Source organism: Homo sapiens, chromosome 4 (genome assembly GCF_000001405.40).
Source record: "Homo sapiens chromosome 4, GRCh38.p14 Primary Assembly".
Lineage (NCBI taxonomy): Eukaryota > Metazoa > Chordata > Mammalia > Primates > Hominidae > Homo > Homo sapiens.
The window spans coordinates 70,390,245-70,410,195 of NC_000004.12; the positions used below are offsets into that span (position 1 = coordinate 70,390,245).

Genomic DNA, 19,951 nt, shown 5'->3' on the forward strand with positions numbered 1-19,951 from the left:
TATGAAGTCTCCACTGTTGTCATCAAAGCCAACATTTTTCCCCCAGTTATGTCACCTAAATGAGTGAACATAGATCATTTGAACCCTTAAGAAAATATTTATTCTAGAATCACTTTGAAGAAATATCAAATCTCTTAGAGTATTCCTAAAGTGAGAAAATAGTTTAACTATCATAGAAATGGTGATTATAGCACAAATCTCATAATTTCAAAGGAATATCCATTTCTCTATTTTTTCTGGACCTACAGGTAGACTACATTTCTTAGCCTTCCTTGCAATTATGCATGGCCATGTGCTGAATTTCAGCCAATGAAAGGAAAAAAGAAACAAATAAGAGTTACTTCTGAAACTGTGCCTGTGATGGTTAATATTGTCAACTTGATTGGATTGAAGGATACAAAGTATTGATCCTGGGTGTGTCTGTGAGGATGTCACCAAAGGAGATTAACATTTGAGTCAGTAGGGTGGGAAAGGCAGACCCACCCTTAATCCGGGTGGGCACAATCTAATCAGCTGCCAGCGTGGCTAGAATATAAGCAGGCAGATAAAATGTAGAAAGAGAGACTGGCCTAGCCTACCAGCCTACATCTTTCTCCTGTACTGGATGCTTCCTGCCCTTGAAAAGTAGACTCCAAGTTCTTCAGTTTGGAATTCAGACTGGCTGTCCTTGCTCCTCAGCCTGCAGATGACCTATTATGGGACCTTGTGATCCTGTGAGTTAATACTTAATAAACTTCCATATATATATATATATATAGACACACACACACACACACACATATATATATACACATACATATATATATACACATACATATATATATACACATACATATATATATTCCTTTAGTTCTGTCCCTCTAGAGAACCCTAACACAGTGCCCTGAAGAGTTAAAGAAACAGTAACTAACAGAAATTCTTAAGTTTGCAGGATGGCAGATAAGAAAAGAAACAAATTGCTGAAACACTCCCTCTGCTTATGAGATCAAAGAGCTAGCTGAAATGGATTGGAACCAATATGGCCAAATGAAGCCACAGCAGGGAATTTATTCTCCACCCCAGATATGAAATAGTTTTGATGAAATATAACTGAATGAAATTAAATAACATAGGATTAGATGGAATGAGATTAATAGAATGGAATGGAACAACAGAGTGCACTGTACTTCATACCCCTTATTCTGACAAATACATTCACCTTTATGCATACTGGGACATGTTGTTCAATGTATTTCTTAACTGTTATTCATAATAATAAAAATTTTAAACACTTATTTAGGGATGAGAAAGAATGTCACTTTAGTGATCTACCATTGACCCTATGCTGAATAAAGAGAGAAAGGTTAAAGAGAGCTGATGGATCGGGAGAAAGTCATGAGGTCAATTAACTGGTGTTTCCAGTGGGAATAGTTAAACTTGTAAACTTGAAGGAGAGGCAGTTGTCATTCTGGAGTGAGATGTGTGAATGAGCGATTTAGAAATAAGAAATGTTAGTGTAACTGCAATCCAATGTGTGACTGCAGCAGTGAGTAGCTGAAATAGAGAAAAGTCACAGGAGATTAGATGCAAGATGAGAGAAGCTAGGGATTGGATGGGACATCCAGTGGAAACAGACACATAGACCAATAGAACAGAATGGAGAACCCAGAAATAAAGCCACACATCTACAACCATCTGATCTTTCACAAAGTCAACAAAAGCAAGCAACAAGGAAGGGAGTCCCTCATCAATAAATGATGCTGGCGTAACTGGCTAGCCACGTGAAGAAGAATGAAACTGGACCGCTATGTTTTACCACATACAAAAATTAACTCAAGATGGATTAAAGACTTAAATTTAAGAATAAATACTAAAACTGTAAGAATCCTAGAAAAAAGTTTAGGAAATATCATTCTGGACATTTGCCTTGGCAAAGAATTTATGACTAAGTCCTTAAAAGCAATTGCAACAAAAACAAAAGTTGACAAGTGGGACCTAATTAATCTAAAAAGCCTCTGCACAGCAACAGAAACTTCTAAAAAGCCTCTGCACAGCAACAGAAACTAACAACAAAGTAAACGAACAACCTGTAGAATGGGAGAAAATATTCTCAAACTATGCATCTGATAAAGATTTAATATCCAAAATCTATGAGGAGCTTAAACAATTGAGCAAAAAAAACAAATAACCCCATTAAAAAAATAGGCAAAAGACATGAGCAGACACTTCTCAAAAGAAGACACACAAGTGACCAAAAAACATATGAAAAAATGTTCCACATCACTCATCATCAGAGAAATGCAAATCAAAACCACAATGAGACACTATCTCACACCAGTAAGAACGGCTATTATTAAAAAGTCAAAAAATAACAGATGCTGGCAAGGTTGCAGAGAAATGGAAACACTTATACACTGTTGGTGGGAGTGTAAATTATTTCAACAATTGTGAAAAGCAGTGTGGTGATTCCTCAAAGAGCTAATAACAGAACTATCATGACTATGTATATACCCACAGGAAAATAAATCATTCTACCAGAAAGACATGCACCTGTATGTTCATTGTAGCACAATTCACAATAGCAAAGACATGGAATCAACCTAAATGTGCATCACCAGTGGATTGGATAAGGAAAATGTGCTACATATAAACATATAGAATACTGCACAGCCATAAGAAAGGACAAAATCATGTCCTTTGTGCAACATAGATGCATCTGCAGGCCATTATTGTAAGCAAATTAATACAGGAACAGAAAACCAAGTATTGCATGTTCTCACTTATAAGTGGGAGTTAATTTGAGTACAATGGACATAAAGATGGGAACAACAGACATTGGGAACTATTAGAGGGGAGAGGGAGTGAGAGGAGGTGAGGGCTGAAAATCTACCTGTTGGGTACTATGCTTAGTACCTGGATGCTGGGATCATTTTCACTCCCCGCTCAGCATCATGCAATATACCCAGGTAACAAACTTGCATATGTACCCCATGAACCCAAAATGAAAGTTGAAATAAAACAAAAGAAAAGAAAATTTAAGTCACCCAGCATGACTTCAAGCAAATAGCAATATAACTGACAAATGAAATGAGAAGAGGTGATCACATGAGCAGAAGTCAGAGTGTAGAACTGAATGGAATTGGCCTCAAAGGAGCATGTGTTGCCTAAGGAGGTGAAGGAGAAATATTGCCAACTATAAAATTTTAGCTTTTGTTTTCAGTACTCTGACTTTGAGGGAGTAACAGATCACATTTACAAGTGGCATATTGCTATAGTTTAGACTGGCCACAGTATTCCCATAGAAATATCCCTCTACTCTGAGCCTCTAGCACAGCCAGTCATGACTCATCAAATACATCAGATTTCCGTGCAATCAATCTATCATTAAAGTTTCTCTGAACTGAGGTTTTCCAATCACACTCAAACTTGTTTCTCATGACCATATACATCCCAGGTTCAGAATGGCTGGGACATAGGAAGCTGTGCCTAAAGTTTACCAATTCTCCAGCAAGCTATTGTCAAGCGTGCTATGTTATTACCTGTTCTGTATACATTTTAAGTAAACGCTAAATAAACTTGGTATGTGATGCATCTTTTGTCTAGTGAGTTTGGACATCATCCTGAGCCCAAGACTATTGCTACTAATGGAGCCTAGTGGGTGTTGCAGCCATCAGTCACTGCATCAGTTATGGTGCTGTCAGGAGGCAGCAATACTGCCAATTATTTTTAAAAGAATTTAATATCAAGTATCATTAATTAGGCAGCAAGAATTGTTAACGGGGTAACTGAAAAGGCAAAACGAGAACACCGGATTTACCTCATGGAGGTAGCAACTGCAGAAAGAAGCTAAGACTCCTAGGGCTAAGGAAAGAAGGGTAAAGTTTGAAATTATTGAAATTTAGAAGTTTGCAGATGAGGTCCCACAGTATGAAAAGCAAACCTATGAAAAAGTAGACTTGTGTTGGTCTCTCTATGTATACAGGAATGGTCCTTTTTGTCTAAGACCTAGTCCAGTAGGGAGGAATGCTGGAAGGTTGGTCCTGGAATCTCTGAGAGGATTTAATGAGGCTGCTTTTGTACGTGTTGGAAAAACAACAGAGTTCAACACTGCCCAAGGTTCCTTTCCAAATGCTTGACTCAGACCTTCATTCCTGAAGTATCTCAATCCTCAGTGGTTATACATTTTCTTGGTTGTAGTAGTTTCCCCTTAATTTTCACTTTTGGACATGAACATACTAAATGGTGTCCCAGAGAATCTCCTGAATTCCAGACAGTCCTCTGTGTTCCTCTTTGTTAGCAGCAACCCAATTTCCCCCTCGGTAATCAGGAACAATCCTGCTAACCAGTAGAGTAACTCTTATTTATTTTTGTTCAGTGACATGAGGAGATCAAAATGTCCTAATTCCTCCTTTATGAACCAAGACCTCCAAACTAGCATAACTCAAAGTTACAAAGACAGAAAGCAAAGATTCTGTGAGTGGGCTATTAGTTGTAATAATAAGAAGAGCCTTAATTTCTGTTCCCATGAATTCTGGCCCTGGGAAAGCTGGATGCATATGTTGCTCACTGATTGAAAGCATGTACTGCATCCTGTAAAATAGAACCTCATTCTTGCAGGGTATATACTCTCAACTGGTATCATAAAGTCTTCAGTGGTCATTACACTGTTTTATCAGATTAGATGATTCTCTGTGATGGGGTATGTGGTAAGAAGAATGAACTTCATATGCATGAGCTCATAATCACATTCTTTTGCTGTGAAATCAGTTTCTTGATCAGAAAGATGTCATGATAAATAATTTTATTCACCAACAGCAGTGAGACTACACCAGCAACTTGAATTTCCTTAACAAAAGGCAATTGTTGCTTTAAGTATTGTTCCAGAAAATATCTAGTCAAGATCTTTTAAAGCCAGGTGTTAATTAAAATTTCTCTTGAATAACAGTTCTTATTTCGAAAAGAAATGTGCTGCCCCTGCTTTGGAAACTAATCCTTTGTTGACTATAAGTCATGCAGAAATTATTTTAATTTTGATAATGTTCATTCTTAAGTCCTTCATATCCAATGATCCATTATAACAACAAATCACACCTTGTACTTAAAACACTTGGCTGAAAATATACTGGGCATCAAAACAATTTACAACACCAACCAAAAAGAGAAGTTGTTCATCTTTTTCACAAAATGAGCATGTTACTAGAGAAGGTAACAATTCAGGAAGTATTAGATATTAACTTAAAGGATTTCCTGAGTCATAGAAGGGTACAGAAAACAAAACTGTCTATAATGAGCATACTAAAAAAGGAGACAAGAGTTCTAATTGTCAACTTATCATCAACAAAGACAGAGGCAAAGAAAACTAGGTAGCTTAAGATCAATTCCAACTTAATTCCCCATTCACTACCAAAAGCTTTTAAGTCACGTTTTAAATTTGAATATGTTTTACCCCTTTACTAGAGATTCATCATACCCAGAATATTTTAAAAATTGCATGATGGAAGAAGGACATTCCCACTGAAAGGCTAACACTTACTAATAACGTGGGTCACAATTTTCTATGTCCTATTTATTTAATCCTCAGAACAATATCAAGAAGTAGACATATTACTATCTTATTTTGTAAATGACAGTGTTGAGACATAATTGGATTAAATAGCTGGTCATATAAAACACAGCTAATAGGAGGGGAGTTGACATTTCAGCTTAGGCCACCTGACTTGAATGCTACACACAATCACTAAACTACCTTATAATGAAAGACTCTTACATTTTATTGGCTGCAGCTGACAGAAAACATATATTTTTACATAATAACCCAGTACACCCATATGTATAACCATATAATATATCCTGAAAAGTATTAATATATAATGCAATCTGATATTTACTTCTATTCTGCTCTATCCATCCTCTAAATTCTGTTTGCTACTCCCTAAATAGATTTCATGTATTACTGATGAGTTGCATTCAAGCGTCAATGAGTGCTACTATTAAAAATATAGTAATTACTTCAGTGGTTCAAATAATTGGATTTGAGAGACAAAGCAGCGTAATGAAGGGAAAAGTTCAAGCTCTCAAATATGGCAAATTTAAGGTCAATTCCTTTCCCAGCTATTTTAGTGAATTTGAGCAACTTACGTGACTCCTCTCTAATTTATTATCTAATCAGTGATCTGATAATAATAACATAAATTGCAAGGGTTTGTTGTGAGCATGAGGAGAGCTAATCTACATAAAGTGATTAGCACATAGTCTAGGACATGGTAAGGATTCAACAAATTATGGCTATTAGAAAATAAAGCATAACATCTTCTAGCATATGGTAATTTCCTCTCAAATGAATAGATTTTATTTCCTATGAGTAAATTTCTCAGTACCTGCCTTCATTTTATACATAAAATTGTGTAATTTACTACATCCTTTTGCCATAAATTGAAAATAGATTGTGTAATACCTCCCATCTTTGGTAGACAAGTGTACATTGAATTTATCCATCTGATTTAGATAATGGGATAACACCACATACTTACAGAATACAACATATATTGGAGAATTTATTATCCATTAAGCAGTCCAGATATTCATTATTAGCTTCAGAAAAATGTATTAAGTAATTTCTATATATTTAACATTTTAAGTAGCTCAAATGCATGTATACAGTATCTTTAAAATTACACATCTGGGAAATAAATATGAAATTGAAAATAAGAAACTAGAAGGATTCTATTTCCTAATTATCTCCCACCACTAGATATCTTCTGTTATTTCCAAAATTAAGACAAAGAATTTATTTCAACTGCCTCCTTTTTCCATTCTTTAAATTCCTTCTTCCCAAATAAGCTTCTTCTCAAATAAACCAACTCTTACTATACATATATATATGTCAGTTCTGATACATATGTATAGACACATTAAAACTCCAGTATCTATAGCCTTTAACAACAGTGGTTCCCAAACAAAGCTTCACTTTGCAATAACTTGGGGAGTTTTTTAATTCTTGTGTTCTTTTGCAGCAACGTGCATGCAGGTGGAAGCCATTATCCTAAGCAAACGAATTCAAGGAGAGAAAACCAAATACTGCAAGTTCTAATTTAGAAATGAGAGCTAAACATTGAGTATACGGGAACATACAGAAGGGAACAATAGACACCAGGGCCTACTTGATGGTGTAGAGCAGGAGGAGGGTGAGGATCAAAAAACTACCTGTTGAGTACTGTGCTCACTACCTGGGTGATGAAATAATTTATACAACTAGCCCCAGAAACACACAAATTGCTCATGTAACAAACCTACACAGGTACCCCTGAACCTAAAATAAAAGTTGGAAGGAAAAAACTAACATAAATAAAATTAATAAAATTTTTAAAACAAAATTAAATTACTTTGTCTGTCTTCTGCCCCATAACTTTTGATAAATTGTTCTGGGGTAAGGTCTGAGAAGTGGAATTTTTTAAAGCTTCCCAGATAGTTGTGATGTGCAGTCAAGTTTGAAAACCACTGTACTTGAGCATTCTGTGTGCTGCCCCAGGGCCTGCTAGGACAGTGATTGGATCACAGTTCTATAGATGAAGCTGCCAAACTGGCAACTGCAACTATTATTTCTTTGTTTCAGTAAAGAATATCAATACAGAACTTTACCCTCTCTCAACCTTTCTCTTAACTCCAATAAAAATCCAGACAGAGGTATTTAAGAAGAAAGGCTTTTCTATCAAAGTTCTTTCTCTTCTTGGACTTTTAAATTGTGGCTACCTAAATTGAGTATCTGGCAAGAGTAAGATTAAGCAGTAATTTGTTCCAAAGAAGAATCTTCTACCAAGGTAGGTATATAGAAATATAAATGTAAGAATTTTCACTTCGGAATTCTAGCTTTTGCTCATATTCTCAAGAATATCATCCTCATGGCTTTTAATGGAAATAGCCTCGTTACCCAAAAATCTCAGATGTGTTTTTAAAAAAAAAATCATTGTCTGTGGTAAAATTGCTTAAAATTCCTGAAAAAATGTCAAGAACATTCATATTGATTAGTTGCACAATTTACATCCAATTTCACAATCTATTGACTTTTTCCACTGCTGTATTTTATGGTCTCTAAAGTCAATCATGAGTAGAAGAGTCTTAAAAAGGTATATTAAGTTAGATTTGCATTTTTGTTGTTCTTGTTTGAGTTAGGTTTCTTATGTATTGTCAAACTGCTTTCTAATATGAAAACATATAAGAAAAAAGCTATTTTAAGGGGGTAGACACACGCACATACAACTATAGGATCTGTCAACCTGTCTTACATCACTTTCAAGGCTAATGCCAATGACAGATACCACATAAACCCCAAGACAATCTGTCAGCCTATGTGCTTGAATTTTGCCTTCCCAGAACCCAGGGTGCCATGTGCTTCTTATATATTGTTGAAAATTATAAACAAATTAGGATAAAAACATCTTTTTTCTAATTCACACACTGATAGACAATAATTGACTTTTGGAATAACTTGGAAAAAAATCATATCAAAGTAATAATACTTCAGTAGAGTGATGTTAAAGGAAAAATACACATTACATGGTTTCTTTTGCTTCAGACAGATCTAATAACAATAACACAATAATTGTATTAAGAAGTTATTTTTTACAATAGTCGTGTCACGTTGACAATATTTAGGTCACAAATCTATAGAAATCTGTAAGCTTTGACTAATTTTAAGTAAACATACTAAAAGTATACCCTAAGTAGTTATGTTCCAAAGTAGTCACCACTAAAGGCAACAAGGAATTTCCAAAAATACTTTAATTTTAAAATGTACTTTCAACAATTATCTGAAAATTATCTTTCATAAAATAAAGTACCACCATTAAAAAAAAAATCACAAACATGACAGTATTGCTGTGCATCTATGCTGCTTCCTCTCCCCAAAATATCAAACACATCTTTAAAGGTTATGTTGGTCTTTCTTCATCATTTTACATAACAAGTGTTAAAATGTTTTAAAAAATTTTTTCTGAAAAACACTGTTGATCGATTTGGCTAACTGTGGATAATCTTTGGCCTGTTTGTAGGAGCAACTTTAAAGAATGAAATTAACTTTCTTCTTGGGCCTGTTGGCTCTTATTTCATGTTTCACAGTAAGTTCCCTCAATTCTAAATTTACTTGTTATATTTATTGTTAATCATGATTTCAAAGAAAGTTTTGATACCAAGAATTTTGTCCTGTATATAAAAATACAGTGTCAGGCTGTTGATAATTATGGACTTGCTCTTACTTTCCTTTTCCTTTCTCATTTATGACTAACCATCTAGTCAGCGGTTGCTAAGCATGAAGGGACAGTGGACTGCAGGAAGAGGACACAGGGCAGGTAGTATCTAGGAGAGCTAGCTCTTATCTAGAGATATCTCTTCCTTTTTATTTCTTTTTCAAAAGGACTACTATCAAATTGTCAGAAAAATATAATTTAAGCTTACTAAATGTTTAAAAGCTGTAGGGAATAAGAAAGCATACAGTTGGAGCTTCATGATAAATTTTCTAAAAAGACAACATGATATATCAATGCAAGGATTGCTGATTGTACAATAGTTTTTTATTGAAAATATTTATAAAAACTAAAATCAGGAAGCCTTTCTGATGCCTGAAAATATATTCATTATGACTAAAATATTCCTTTAACTGACTGGAAATTAAAGTGCTACTCACTTGGGAAAAAAATACAAACAGAAAAAGAAGTCATTTACTCAAGAAGCACTTACACTAATTCAAACTTTTGAAAATCATTTGTTAAAGCTCTATAGGAGATCCAAAAATATATAATGCAAAGTAACAAGTGATAAGTGCCATAGCCAAAAACATCATAGCATGATACGAATTTCAGAGTAAGATCAGTTTCCCTAGCATATGTTGGGGTTAGGTGGGCTTGCGAGGAGAGAAAGAGCCCTATTTATCTCATTTCTTAGTAATTACTGATAATCCACTGTGTGTTGGGCCTAGTGGTGGTTGATACAGAAATACCAAAGTCGAATTCCAAATTGGGATCTTCATAGATTAGGTCTTCTTTTCATAATATAGTATCTACCTAAGAGAAACTAGTGAGCAAATAAATATCAATAGACCCTAGCAATGATACTGTCAGATAAAGTAACGTTATTTTTCTGAAGCATTTTTTGATATTTAATGACATCTGTATTGTTCTGAAGCATATAGTGCTATGTAATAACATTTGTATAAAAAAATTATACTTCTGAGGTTGAAATAGAAGATTATTATACTCCATGAGATACCTATATCAGAAACACCTGATCCACTTAATAAGAATGAACATTTCCAGACCTTATCCCAGACCTGAGAAAAAAAGAATAGCTGATCTTGGGGCCTGGAAACCTGCATTCTAGGATACTCTTACTCAAGCTGAAATCTGAGACTCCTTGAGTAAATTTTCTTGAAATTTACTTCTCAAGCTATTATGTTATAATTGCATGAAATATATAAAGAGAGCTTTCAAGGTAAATTCAACTTAAATCAATCCATCATATGAAAAAACCTAAGTCAATAATTAGAATTAATTATCAAATTTATTACTCTGGAATAAACCACTTTTTTGGTAGAATTCCCCAAATATGACAAATATGACTTCTCTGTTAACATTAATAAACACTAATTCAGACTTTATACAATAGATTAGAAGGTAAAGAAAGATCCATGATCAAGTAAACTTGAGAAATTTGGGGAAATGAAATAGAGGTTGTTGACTAGAATACTTCTCAGAGACAATAATAGAGGAAATGCTGTCTTTGATTCTCTATCTACAACCTTCTGTTTCATACTGAGGACAGACAACTTCTGAGGAGTCCTACATAAAGCATCTACCTTGAGGATTCATATGAATTAATGGCATATTTTTATTCCAGAAGCCTGAATTGCAAGACAAATGTAACTTAAATTCTTTTCTACCTTGAAAGAGTATAGAATCCCATTTATATAAGAAGCAGAGGATTCCATGTCCTAAAAAAACATGAGTTTAATACATAAATTTTCTCATGTTAGAATTAAATATTATTGGATATAAGAAAACAAGAACCACAAGACATAATTTTAAGGTCACTCTAGCAAAAATTTCTTGCTGTATTCATTGTCTCATGAGAAGTTGGTAAATCTTAACAACAGTCTTAAGCATTAGTCTAAATAAAGAAACTTTATTGTACTTAGCATCTAGAACTTTCAATATATCAGAGATTATCTTTTATGAGATAGGGACTATCTAGGATTTAAATTAAAAATAACAGTTCATATTTGTATATTTACAATGTACTCTGGAGCACAGTTTTACCCTCAAACCTCACAAAAACCCAGGAACTATTTGGGATGCTCCTTTACATAGCACAGAGCTGAACATGAGACAAACCCTCAATAAGTATTAGGGGAATGACACAACAAGTGAATGGGCCTTTGTGTAGTTGACGCCAAGTAATAACAAATAGGTTTCAGAGTCTTACCTGTTCATTCATGCCATTGGATAGGCTATATGAAGTATGACACAGGGATGGATAATAGGCCAAGTGTAAGCTCAAAGGTAAAGTATCTCATGGTGGACAAGGATATCTGCCATGCTCACAAGATGAGTAACGACAGCATTTTTGCCAATACCTGCCATCCCTAACTTAGAGAAGACTTTGTTTGCAGCACAATCTGTCCACTAAACTGCTGTCAGCTGTCAGTTGGTTAAGCTGTCAGTCTGGCAGTTTCTAATCCTTAAGAATAGGAAATAGAAGTTTAAAAAAAGTAAAAAGTAAAATAAACTTAAAAACAGAACATAAATAAAATACTTTACAGAAAGGGCTATGATAAAATAATTGCCAAAAGCAAAGCAAAACCTTTAGCCTGAACTAAACCAACGATAAGCAGATATCAAATAACCGAAGACAGACAGTGGTTCTCCAAACTCTACAAACTCTAGAAACTCTATCAGGAACACAAATCATCTAGGGATTTTGTAGAACTGCAGACTCTGATCCAGTAGGTCTGCCTGAGCCCCATAAGTCTACATTTCTAACAAGCCCTCAGGTGATACTGGTGCTGATCTGTTGGTCAGCAAATAACATTTTGAGTAACAAGGCCCTGGTCAACTGAGAAATCAAACAGAGAAAGGCTGAGGACTTCTTACGGGTTTGTATAAATGCTCAAATGTTGTCACGGGAAAGGATTACGCTCCTTGCCATGTGCAAGGAAGGAAATGGCATTCTGAAATCAAGTAAGAGAAATTTCTGCTTATCACCAAATATGGGGAATTCATTCAACCCAAAATACTTATTGAGCACTTATTGTTTGCCAGGCACTATTCTAGATGTTGGGTAAACAGCAGTGAACAAAACAGACAAAAAGTTTCTAACCTCATGGAGCTTATATTCTACTTGGGGAAGACAAGCCATAAACAAAATAACTGACTATGTAATGCAGAAAATTTGGGAAGAAGGAATTTTAGGAGGAGGTAGAACAAGGATGTGATTTTAGATAGGGTAGCCCAGTGGAAAATGGCATTTGATTAAAGACCTGAAGTGGGTGAAAAAGCCAACCATGCAAGCAGAGGAAACAGGGAGTTCCAAAGTCTGGAGTAGGGTACACTTGCCTAGTGTGAAGAATAAGGAGGCTAGCATGGCTGGTAGAGAGTGAGATGGGAAGAGAGGAGCAGGAGGTGATACTAGAGAGTTAGAGGAGGGTGAGGCTGCATCAGGTCTCATGGGCTTTTGCAGAGCCTTAGTTTTACTCTGAGTGACATGCAAAACTTTAGTACATGAAGTCAGTACAAAACCTCAGAAAGATGCCGTCTCTTCCCACACACTCTTGCTTTCCATCATCCATAATGATTTGGAGAAAAAAAATGAAACTTCTAAAATATCTGAATGGCATCCATAAATATTTACTTAAAGTCACCTACAGCTTAAGAAGGATACAAACACTGATAAACATGACCTCTAACTTCAAGGGGTATATGACTGTCAGAGGATACAAGATAGATTGGTAATAATAGCCAGAGCAGGAGTTGACAAACTTTTCTGAAAAGGGCCAGATAACAAATATTGTAGGCTTCTGTGGGCCTGTAATAAGTGGTCAACTTGGCTGAGGTAGCTTGAAAGCAGCTACAATAAACGAATGGGCATGGTTATGTTCCAGTAAAACTTTATTTACCAAAACAGGCAAACTACATTTGGCCCACAGCCTTAGTTTGCTAACTCCCAGTCTACAGAGACAGTGAACAAGGCAATATGGCATGTAAAAACCTGATATTTCATTTACAAAATAATCATAAAATTAACCCAACATTATTCATGAGTTTGCAAAAAATATTTATGTTTCATTGAAACATGTTTGCATGTTTGTGTGCATGCAAAATACTATGCTAAATTATTTGTCATTTTAATTATTTTTTCTAAAGAACATCATGTGATAGATACTATTACTTTCTCTCTTTTAAAGATAGGAAAAGTAACAGAGAGGTTACATAACTTACCCAAATTCACATAACTTGTGAATGGAGAAACAAAATTTTAACTTGCCTTGATCTATTTGCCTATCTTCTGCCTTTTCTTCTATTATCTGGGATGGACTAAAATCAACCCAATATATTCTAAGACCAACCCCTCAACTTGTACACTAGATCCCATCCTCTCCCCTAAGCAAGGAGATTCCTGCAATTATCCTGCAATTATCTACTCTAAATCTAAATATCAGCAATTTTTCCTTCTCTCTATTGATTGTTCCTACTAGCACATAAATATGAGGTAATATCATTTATATGTTTGTTTTCATACTCCACTGATCTTATGGCTCCCATCATGGTCCATTTGAAAAAGTTGCCTCTGTACATCTTCACTTCTTTTCCTGTTCTGTCTTAAGCCTACTCCAAGCAGACTTTGCCCACATCATTTGGATGAAACCACATTTGTCAAATTGTACTCAAAATGGCCAGGCGTAAGGGTCAGCTTTCAGTCCCCATGATAATTATGTCTAAATTGTATTTGACATGATCAGTCTCCTACTTAAAGAGTTTTTTCTTTTTCCTCAACTCCACTCTCCTGATTTTTCTCCTACTTCAATGACGACTCCTTGTTGGTCTCCTTCTCCAGACACATCTCCTCTTCCTGATCTCTAAATGTCAGAGTCTCCCAGGACACCATCTTCTTACCCTTTCTCCATCTATGAGCACAAATCCAGTTGCTCAAGCCAAAAAAAACTTGAAATCATCCTTGACTCTATCACCTCCCAGATCCACTCCTTCAGCAAATATTGCCCACTCTGCCTTCAAAACATCATCTAAATCTTACCCTTTCTCACCACCCTCCTGCTACCATTCTAGGCCAAGCCATCATCACTTCCTACCTGTGGCAACAATAACTGATCTCTCTGCTTTCACTATTGTCCCTGCAGTTTATTCTCCACACAACAACCAGAAAGATGTTTTTCCAAAGTAAATATTGCCATATCATTCCTTTGTTCAAAAGCTTCTAATGGTTTTCCATAAGACTTAGAAGGCGGGGATACAAAGTCCTTACCCCTACCTACAAGACCCTGCTTTGTCCTCCCCGCACCTTAACTCCAATATATCTATGTAACAAAATTGCATTTATGCTCTTTAAATGTTTTACAAATAAATAATAATAAATTTAAAAATATCTGCCCTCATGGAACTCACACATTAAATCGTTTTTGATTATTTTAAACCATCAAATGTTAAAACTACAGAGAGAATATAATCAAATTTAAATATAGGTGGGCTGCATAATAATAATATTAAAGCTACCACTTATGGAGTGTTTAATATATGCCAAGAAGTATATTACAAAAGTATGCTGTTTAATCTCTCCAGAAATCCAGTGTGACAATTATTATTATTATCCTCTCTTAACAAATAAGTAAAATGAAACTCAAAATAGCCAATTCTCTATTCTGTTTCAAATAAGCTTATCATTTGTGAAGGTAATCCCCCCAAATGTAGACTCCTTAAGAAGGCATTTTCATCATTTGTCTAGGGTTATAATGTTCACTACCATTGGCCAGTGGAGGAGGGAAACTAGCTAGTGAAAAATTGTATTAAGAGAATAGGAAAAGATAAAAATAATAAGAATGGAGATCAGGGGTCAGCTATTTGCTGTAAGGTGTAATTTTTCACATGATTTCTCCCCACCTCTGCTTAGGGTCCAGAGAGCAGCTCATTGAAGATCACTTTGAACTTAATTTCCATGACACTGTACCATCTGGGTTTCCTCCTGTCTCTGATTTTCCTTCACTGGCTGCTCACCTTTCTCTTATTGATACCCAAGTTTCTGTCTTCAGCCATTTCTTCTTCATTACTTTCTTACTTATTGCTTTGACCCAACAGTGCTTTCCAAATCTATTTCTCCAGTTCTGAGATTTCAATCTGCATCTACAAACTTCCATGACTTTTCAAACTCAAAAGGATTAAAACTTAATTAATTTTTTTCCTCTTGACACCTATATCTTCATTAATGTTAGCAGCCATGACTTAAGATCTCAATTTCATTTGAGTCCACATTCATTTATTCAAAAACATTTACTAAGAACTTGGCCAGGCATGGTGGCTCACACCTGTAATCCCCGCATTTTGGGAGGCCAAGGCAGGTGGATTGCTTAAGCTCAGGAGTTCGAGACTAGCCTGGGCAACATAGCAAGACCCCATATCCACAAAAAATACAAAAAAAAAATAGCCAGGTATGGTGGTGCACTCCTGTGGTCACAGCTACTTGCGAGGCTGAGGTGGGAAGATCACCTGAGCCTGGGGGACAGAGGTTGAAGTGAGCTGAGGTCACACCACTGCACGCCAGCCTGGGTAGCAGAGCATGACCCCGTTTAAAAAAAAAATGTACTGAGAACCTCCAACGTGCCAGAAACTGGAGATAGAATGATAAACAATACAGAGACATTGTTTGAAGAAGTTAATAATTACTACACTATATAATAAGTGACTATAAGTATTATAATAGAAGTGCTAAAGCAACAAAAAGAACAAAGATACCTAACTTACTTCGAATTCCTCATACCTTTTATTATTCACAAAGGTGCCAGGCACTGACTAAGATACTAAAGACACAAAGCTAAAGAAGATACAACTTATTCCTTCAACAGCAGTAAAATAGCACATGGCCTAAAAGTGGAGAAAAATATCAAAACAAACAATTACTATCACTGTGAAAAAAAGTGATGAAGTTTGCTTTTGTCTCCAATAAAAGATTTACAAAAGTAAAATTTTGGCTGATTTTATATTGTATAAAGATATTTTCTGTACAATTCTTTTAATTATCATATCAAATTATTGGGGGAGAGGAGTGAAGCCACTTAAACATTTTGAAGGAAGAGCTTGCCAAGTGAATGGAAATTAGGGCAGGAGTGAAACATTCTCAGCTAGAGGAACTGCTTTTATGAAGGCACAGGGACTACCAAAAAGAGCTCGTTATGTTGAAAGAACTAGTACTAGTTCTACATGGCCAGAGTGAGGATAAAGAAGTGGCAAAAGATGAGATTGGATGGCGGTATAGGCTTTTGTTTGGTTGCAAAGAACAGGGTTCCACTCACAATATTTATTCTTGCATTTTTAGGGCTGCCTTAGTTTGCTGCACCAGTTCTAATTTATATTTATTCTTGCATTGACTTCCTTTTTCCTTAAAGGAAGGAAACATGCCTGGCCAGGTTCTCAATAAATGTTTTCTTCCTTCCTTAAATAAGAAAGTCAATGCAAGAATAAATATAAAGTAGAACTGGCACAGCAAAAGCAGGCAGCCCTAAAAACCGGTCTTTGCTTCTCATGGCAACCCTGCTTTTCTCTGTACTGTTCCCTCCCTGAGATGTGCTCTCTTTACTCACAGTCCCTGTGTCCTTATAGCTTAGTTTGCACGTGGCCCTTATTAATGCTCCAGCCTCTGTCTGGCTCCTCTCATCTCACAATATTCACATTTTAGTTCCTACTTCTAAGTAGGATATCTCAATATTTCCTATTTCAAGTTACAAAGAGAAAGAGAATTTTATTAACGTGGCTTATTTTTCTTCTTCTGGCCATAAGGCCTAAGATCCTGGATAGCCAGTGGTTTGGAAGTCCATGGAACAATAGCCCAGAAATAACCCAAATAAATGTGTTTATGTTTATGTTACAAGAATAAAAGGTGATGACTAAGACAGGACAGTCCCTGGAAAGGGAGAAAACATAGATATAAAATATACAGAGGAATTGATCATGTGACCATGACATCACTATGGCTCCCTCTGAAATGACTTGGAATTTTTGAGTTGTCACTGATCTTTGTAAGAGATTCAGTTAAGTTGTGTGATGGGGACAGTAACCAGATAAAAGGGAAATTGAGAAGTGGAGACAGAAAATCTAAACCAGCCTTCCTTACTATCTGGCTAGGAATGGAGAGAGATAAACTAATAAAGAAAGCTTCAAGGGTACCCTAGGTTAAGAATGAGATTCTTTAATACATGAGATATCAATCAATATTATAGACAGGAAGAATACAGCCAGGGATTAGAAAGAGGTTTATTTTACAAAAATAAAAGAGAAGAAAGACCCTAGGGACAGAGAAGATGTAGATATAAAACACAGGTGAAGAGACTGGTCTTAAACAGGAAGAGAGAACAGCAAGATATTTATGAGTTTTATAGGCATAGGGCAGGAAAGTGAAGAAGTTCTCACGTATCATGGCCTAAATTATGTGAATTAGAAGGCAAGATCATCTTCTGATGGGTGTAGAGGGGAGCAAGAAAAGTAGAAGTGAGGTATAGATGCTGAGAAGATAGCCTTTTGGGGAAAATGGGAGGAAATGATTTAGCAGTGCTGATGCACCAGACAAACACAGACACTATAGTTCTCTAGTGTTGCTACCATTAGAGATTGTGGCATTCTCCAGCAATGTTCATCACCATGGAAGTAGGACTAGGGAAGGTAGTTTGCATAGAGTTGATCCAAAAGTTTGATGTTTCTGAAGGCAATATGGCAGAGACACAGGAAGGAGTTGAATGTTGTAGGGGAATGATTAGAGTCTTGCACCTTCCTAAAGCTTTGTTTCAGGCAAACTGGTCTTCTGATGGTCGCTAGAATAGAACCTATATTTTCTTGACCTTGTTCATTTGTTTATGATATTATCCTAATTTGGCTTCTTCCTCCTCATTTCTACCCTGTTATTTTATCCTCATTTCAAATGCCATCTTCTCTACATGGCAATTAGTCCTCTCTCTTTGATAAAAATTAAAATTTTCATCTAAATTACTAAAATTGTTACAATATTTATCAATTATTTCTTGAATTGCTACCATCTACAAGCCATGCTTGTTATTAATAGAGTACAAAATCACTCAAAATTATACTGAGCCCTTACTCTACCTTACTATGTCTAAGCACTTTACATAGATTATGTATAATCCTATCTACCACTATAAATGGTAAGAACTATTTCTAGAACCAGTTGAGGAGTGAGCAAACAGGCAGAGATAACCATAAGCAAGTCACCCAGCTAGCATTTAACAATGGTAGGACTGGCTCTAGGAGGCTCTAGCAATCAGACTCCAGTGTCTAAATTTTAACCAACATACTATACTAGCTCCATAGGCTTTTTGTTGTATTGCCTTGTATTGTCATTGGAGGGTTATATCTTCCACTGATTTCAGACTCACATAAGCAGAGTCTTAAATCTGTTTCTCTTTGTCCCTAGAAAGAAGTGTTGCATGTAATAGTTATACAATTAATGGTTCAGAGTCTGGAATCTCACTGAATTCTTAGAATGAAGTAAGAAAGAATTTTCCCAGATAGTCAACCTGGGTATTTACCTCCACTTGAAACTACATTCAAAGGTGGTCTTTTCTTATACATAATCAAGGTGATTTGGTCCCTCCCTAAAACCTACAGGTCAGATAGCAAGGTTACCACTTTTTTGGTTTTTTCTCATTTAATACTATTCTACTTTTCTTTGATTGCCCAGGCATCCAGAATAAACAGGAAATTTTCTATTCCTTATTTTTTCTAAGTTATTTTCTCAGTGAAATACATGACTTATGGCTTAGTATATCCTAATGTTTACATAGTAGATATATTAATACATAGTATATCCTAATGTTTGAACTTTAAATGATCAAATTTAGAAATTTTGTTTTTTACCTTTGTTTTTATCTCCACAGCCCAGTGAGAGTCAAAGATTCTCCAGAAGACCATATCTACCTGGCCAGCTGCCACCACCTCCACTCTACAGGCCAAGATGGGTTCCACCAAGTCCCCCACCTCCCTATGACTCAAGACTTAATTCACCACTTTCTCTTCCCTTTGTCCCAGGGCGAGTTCCACCATCTTCTTTCTCTCGATTTAGCCAAGCAGTCATTCTATCTCAACTCTTTCCATTGGAATCTATTAGACAACCTCGACTCTTTCCGGGTTATCCAAACCTACATTTCCCACTAAGACCTTACTATGTAGGACCTATTAGGATATTAAAACCCCCATTTCCTCCTATTCCTTTTTTTCTTGCTATTTACCTTCCTATCTCTAACCCTGAGCCCCAAATAAACATCACCACCGCAGATACAACAATCACCACAAATCCCCCCACCACTGCAACAGCAACCACCAGCACTTCCACAAAACCCACAATGACGATCAGCTCCTCAACAGTACCTATCTCTTCAACACCAGAGCCTGCCACCTCCATATCAGCAGCAACCCCCGCAGCATCTACTGAAAATACTACTCAAATTCTCGCCAACCGTCCTCACACAGTATTGCTCAATGCCACTGTCCAAGTTACGACTTCCAACCAAACTATATTAAGCAGCCCAGCCTTTAAAAGTTTTTGGCAAAAACTCTTTGCCATTTTTGGTTGAACATGCAATAAATGATATTTTCCAAACTGCTCTGATATCTTAGAAGAAATAAACTGCAATGATTTTGATGGAACCAACCCTGATCTAACCAGCACACTAAATAAAGTATTTGAGCAATAA

The 19,951-nt window shown here is 35.9% G+C and overlaps 1 protein-coding gene across 3 annotated transcripts; it reads left to right on the plus strand.

Annotated features, from left to right (window-relative positions):
- Positions 1 to 7,695: 7,695 nt before the first annotated feature.
- OPRPN (opiorphin prepropeptide) lies at positions 7,696 to 19,951 on the plus strand. 3 transcript variants are annotated; one of them, NM_001302807.2, is made up of 4 exons: positions 7,696 to 7,796; positions 9,027 to 9,092; positions 9,268 to 9,323; positions 19,136 to 19,951. In NM_001302807.2, the coding sequence occupies exons 2-4, from the start codon at positions 9,042 to 9,044 to the stop codon at positions 19,410 to 19,412; spliced, it is 384 nt and encodes a 127-aa protein (NP_001289736.1). In that variant the 5' UTR covers positions 7,696 to 7,796; positions 9,027 to 9,041; the 3' UTR covers positions 19,413 to 19,951. The 3 variants fall into 3 exon arrangements, 2 of the variants coding, with proteins under 2 accessions (NP_001289736.1, NP_067048.4); NM_021225.5 differs by lacking the exon at positions 9,268 to 9,323; NR_126503.2 differs by lacking the exons at positions 9,027 to 9,092; positions 9,268 to 9,323.